At 43.9% G+C, this 5,378-nt stretch overlaps 1 protein-coding gene across 1 annotated transcript; it reads left to right on the top strand.

The window, feature by feature from the left end:
• Window positions 1-3,020: 3,020 nt before the first annotated feature.
• Window positions 3,021-5,127, top strand: LOC102723407 (immunoglobulin heavy variable 4-38-2-like). The gene is made up of 2 exons (XM_011546198.2): window positions 3,021-3,128; window positions 3,211-5,127. Exons 1-2 carry the CDS (start codon window positions 3,062-3,064, stop codon window positions 3,795-3,797), a joined length of 654 nt encoding a protein of 217 aa, XP_011544500.1. The 5' UTR covers window positions 3,021-3,061; the 3' UTR covers window positions 3,798-5,127.
• The last annotated feature ends 251 nt before the right edge of the window (window positions 5,128-5,378 follow it).

Here is a 5,378-nt window from a genome sequence, read left to right on the forward strand (position 1 = left end):
TTAGATAAAATATGATATATGTAAATCATGGAATACTATGCAGCCAGTATGGTATGAATTCGGTGTGACCAGCCCCTGGACAAGGGCTCGAGTGGATGGGATGGATCATCACCTACACTGGGAACCCAATGTATACCCACGGCTTCACAGGACGGTTTGTCTTCTCCATGGACACCTCTGTCAGCATGGCGTATCTGCAGATCAGCAGCCTAAAGGCTGAGGACACGGCCGTGTATGACTCTATGAGAGACACAGTGTGGAAACCCACATCCCGAGAGAGTCAAAAACCCTGAGGGAGGAGGCAGCTGTGCTGAGCTGAGGCAGTGGTGCAGCAGTTTCTTTAACTTCCATATGATCTCATTTTGCATCATCTTCTACTTTTATATTAGCTAAGAACTTGGGGTAGACGGGTGCTCCTCAGAGATCCTTAACTTGCCCATTTTGATGGGTTTTCCAGAAGACATGAGAAGCCACTTTGTTAGCAAAGCATCCCAAAGCCATGCCCTGTTCTAGACACATGTGAGCCCATTTCCTGGTCTTTGCTTAACTGACAAGCTCTCATCAGTGCACCTGGGCTAATTTCACATCAGGTAGAAGAATGCGTTCTAAAGGAAAGCTAATGTTGTAATAGCAATTCCTGCTTAAAAACCTTCAGCTTCATTGTTTTTGTGTAATCTATCAACAAATTATATTAGTTCAAGGTTCTCAATGGGAGTTTCTAATAAATAGAAAGGATGTATAGAGCTTCCCCTAATTAAAATAAAACAATTGTGAACACAACCTCAGTATTCAGCCATGTCTACACCCTTCACATCCTTCGCCACAAAGGAATTTTCACCTCTCCTGGAAGCTGGGTTCATTTTCAAATTAGTTATTTTTTTCAATTTAATATCTCAAGATTATCATATATGACTATTTTAGCAGACTATTTATGCTATAAAATTAATAGATGACACTGCACTCCAGCCTGCACAACCAAGCAAGTCTTCATCTGTAAAATCTAAAAAAGAAAAATTAATAGGTACTGACTTTGAAATTTTTGATAATAATATTTTCAAAACCCAAATTTAATTACACCCACATGTTACCTCCATCTTCACTGAAAAGTTCCCAGTCACAATAAGTTCCATGAATGCTCCATGTGTTCAAATCTGGACATCAAGAGAGTCCAGAGAATAAAATACAATGACGGCAGTGAAACTGGTGTATATTTAGCACCTCTTAACTCAGGAGGACTCCATACACCCTGGCACACAGCTGCTTTTCTAAATGGTTCACAATGACTCCAGCTCACTCACAGAGCTCAGACAGAAATCTCCCTTCAGGGTGGGAGCTGGGTGGCAGGGGGCACTCAGTACCCACAGAGGTGAAAATGAGCTTTCAGATGGAACTTCCCTGTCACCTCAACATGGAATTTATTGTTTCATTTCATTACCCCTCTTTCCATAATGGTTCATTTCTTTTGGCCTGTTCATTACTGATATTTTTCAGAGGAATCTCACTTGAATCTTTACTCTTTTGCATTTTGTCTCCATGGCAATGTTGGGAAGTTTTACCTCCAGCATCATAACATGATCTAGTGATCTGACACATTGTGCAAACAATACCTATGAATTCAGAAGCTCTTTGCTTTTCTTTCCACGAAATATAATTCTTTCTGTTCTGTGTATAAGCATGTCCTAGCAACCCTGTACACACCCACATAGATGTCTACAAGCCTATGAATTATTCTCTGTAAATAAAAACTTATATCCATTTCCCTCAATGTTCATAATTCTCCTGAGGGTGAGGAAGCTCCCTCTCGATCTGTTCAAACAAAATGCCCAGAAACCATCTGGTAGGTAAGGAGTTCACCTGGCTCTGGTGTGGGGTCTGTCTCTTTCCCTCTGTTGTCCCACAGGTCAGTCCAGTTGTTCAGGTCCTAACAAGAAAGCCCAGGTTTGTCCTGATTTTAAAACACATCGCACTTCTGATGACTCTCCTGTTACCCACATCCATGGAGATAGATTATTTATTATATAATTAACCAAACTAATGTCAAATGCCCAAGTTGCAATACCGCACATCCTAGGGTGTGTTCATGCAATTCAATGGAGGAGAAGGTCTTTCAGAGACAGATGGACCTGAAATGATAAATATGTGGGTAAAGACTCTGGACTTGAGTGTCATTGTCCAGCCATGTTTCACAGGTGTGACTTGTCAGGGAAGGACCAGAGTTCCTTGTGCTCTCAGAGGAGAGGGGTCACACAGGTCCTCTCTGGTTCCCAGGAAAGGTAATCGCACTAATCTTTATGATCTCCATGAGACTATCCTCCAGTGCTGACCTGTTATAGAGTTTTTGTCTGAAGTTGTCACTGCAATCCCTGATCCACATATTTTCATTCAGAAGTGTTTAGAGGCCAGGACACATCTTCAAGGTCACACATTGAGAAGGATGGAGATATGTCTCACTACCTTCTCCTGAGATCTCAGACAGAATCCCAAATTTCAAAAGGACACAGAAGGACAGCTCTCAGGTGCTTTTTAAAATGACCCACTTCCAGGGACAGGGAGCTTCCCTCTAACCATGATGGGTGTTCTGAACTACAATAAACACTGGATGGATCCAGGATTGTTTGAAGTCACTGTCATTATTACATTCAGCTGTTGTTTCAATGTGTCTGAAGTAGTAAATGACAATTTAGATGACCTGGGTGTGTGGTTGGTTTTATATGAATCTTTAAGGGTTGAACAGTATTGACCCTATTCCACAATCTGTCCTTGATCCATGATCACACTCATCTCTCAGACAAGCTCCTTCAGCACATCTCTTTACCTGGAAGAAGAGCACTCTGGGCTTGGCGAGGGGAGGCCCCAAGAAGAGAACTGAGTTCTCAAAGGGCACAGCCAGCATTCTACTCCCAGGGTGAGCCCAAAAGACCGGCGCCTCTCTCATCCCTTTTCACTGCTCCGTACAAAGGCACCACCCACATGCAAATCCTCACTTAGGCGCCCACAGGAAGCCACAACACATTTCCTTAAATTCAGGTCCAACTCATAAGGGAAATGCTTTCTGAGAGTCATGGACCTCCTGTGCAAGAACATGAAGCACCTGTGGTTTTTCCTCCTGCTGGTGGCAGCTCCCAGATGTGAGTGTCTCAGGGATCCAGACGTGAAGATATGGGAAGTGCCTCTGATCCCAGGGCTCACCGTGGGTTTTTCTGTTCACAGGGGTCCTGTCCCAGGTGCAGCTGCAGGAGTCGGGCCCAGGACTGGTGAAGCCTTCGGAGACCCTGTCCCTCACCTGCACTGTCTCTGGTTACTCCATCAGCAGTGGTTACTACTGGGGCTGGATCCGGCAGCCCCCAGGGAAGGGGCTGGAGTGGATTGGGAGTATCTATCATAGTGGGAGCACCTACTACAACCCGTCCCTCAAGAGTCGAGTCACCATATCAGTAGACACGTCCAAGAACCAGTTCTCCCTGAAGCTGAGCTCTGTGACCGCCGCAGACACGGCCGTGTATTACTGTGCGAGAGACACAGTGAGGGGAGGTGAGTGTGAGCCCAGACACAAACCTCCCTGCAGGGAGGCTGAGGGGACCGGCGCAGGTGCAGCTCACGGCCAGCAGGGGGCGCGCGGAGCTCACGGAATACAAGGCCGGGTCAGGAGCAGGTGCAGGGTGAGCGGGGCTTGCTCATCTTCTCAGAGATCATCATCTCCCTCCTCGCCAGCACCTCAGCTTTCCGTAGAGGTCCTCTTTCTTTATTGTCTGTGGTTCTACTTCCTCACATCCTTGTGCCAGGAAAGAAAGGAGTAAGGCAAATTTTCCTGTTACAATTGAAGTTTCACCAATTACTAAAAACTTTCCTGCAAGTACCTGCACAGCCCATTATACCTTATTTATATATATATATTCTAATGCTTCTCACCATCTCTTGATTTGTGTCATCAATTTAATTGTGCCCTTTTTGAAATTCATATGCTGAAACTTTAAATCCAATGGATCTATATCGGAATTTTAATGGTATAATTAACGTTAAATGTGGTCATAAGTGAGACCCTAATGCAATAGACCTGTTGTCTTTATAAGAAGAGGAAGAGACACCAGAGACCTCTCACTTCTCACATGCACACAGAGAAGAGGCCACGTGGAGACATAGTGCACTAGAAGGTGGGCCTCTGCAAGCCAGGAAGAAGCCGCACCAAGAACCAACCCTGCCAGCACCTTGATCTTCTACATTCAGACTGCAGAATTGTAAGAAAATCAATATTTGTTGTTTAAGCCACCCACTCCTTTTGTCTTCTTACGAAGACCCAGACAGGCTAATACCACACAACTCTGTTAGCTCCATCTCCTGGAGGGAGAAGCAGCCCCCTGAGGCTGGGCACATCGCTCAGATTTTCACATGAATTAGGCAAAAACAGTAGCTCTCATATAAAAACTGTCACGTCCCTGTTGGGACAAGGTCTTTTAAACAAACCCTGGGGCTTTGTCACAAATGTTGCATTTTATCCTTTATTAGGACTTAACTAATTGACAATGAGTACCAGCTGGATGGAAACTGACCACTGACCATCTTCTGCTGTCTCCTTATTATATCACAGAAAACCACAGCAACATTACTCTATGTCTTCAACTTTCTAAATTTGTACTGAATCTATTGCTAAATGAGGAGCTACATGGGGTCTGAGTTTTGTTATCTTCTTCCCAGTCTTCCCCAATTACCAAGCACAGAAGATACTTTCAGTGAAATTTAGCTGTCAATGCCCCCAACACCACATCATGTTTTAAGGTCCAAGGACTTTCTTTGGGGGGCTATTGAAAACACTTTTGAATGGAAAATCCTAAAGCATACAACAGCTGAAAGAATGGCCCCTGTGCACGTGAAGGCTGAAGGGATGGATGATAGGGTACGTTCCTCCAAGGTGTTCCTGGGCATGTGATGGTTGGATACCTCATGCATACGAAAACAAGGACTGAACTGAGATAGAAACAAGGGCCATATCCTATAGGAAAACAAGAAAAAAACGGGCATCCCTGAAGAGAGTTAATTAGACTTGGTGGGTTTAAGATGAATTTTTTTCCAAAGTTTTTTAATGTTCTAAGCTAAATATGAATATTTTCAATAAACTGCAAATTAAAAGGAGAATGAATTTAGAAGTTTAGACAGAAAAAAGCCATGAGGGTGTAGAAAGCAAATCCACACAAAACTGTCACATGGCAGAGGCCAGAATGGAGCTGATGCAGCTATATCATTATTCTGCAGACCTAGTTGAGACCCTTTGGTGTTTAAGGCAGGTCCAGCAGTGAAGAACTCCTTTATTTTTTGTCTGGCAAAGTTCTAATCTAATCTTCATTTCTGAAAAGGATTTACATGGTAAAGATTCGTCTTGGCAG

The sequence above is a fragment of the Homo sapiens genome (genome assembly GCF_000001405.40).
Source record: "Homo sapiens chromosome 14 unlocalized genomic scaffold, GRCh38.p14 Primary Assembly HSCHR14_CTG8_UNLOCALIZED".
NCBI lineage: Eukaryota > Metazoa > Chordata > Mammalia > Primates > Hominidae > Homo > Homo sapiens.

Coding starts and splice junctions, on each gene's coding strand:
- LOC102723407 (XM_011546198.2), top strand. CDS start 3,062: ATGGACCTCCTGTGCAAGAACATGAAGCACCTGTGGTTTTTCCTCCTG. Junction 3,129..3,210: donor GCTGGTGGCAGCTCCCAGAT/GTGAGTGTCTCA, acceptor TTCTGTTCACAG/GGGTCCTGTCCCAGGTGCAG.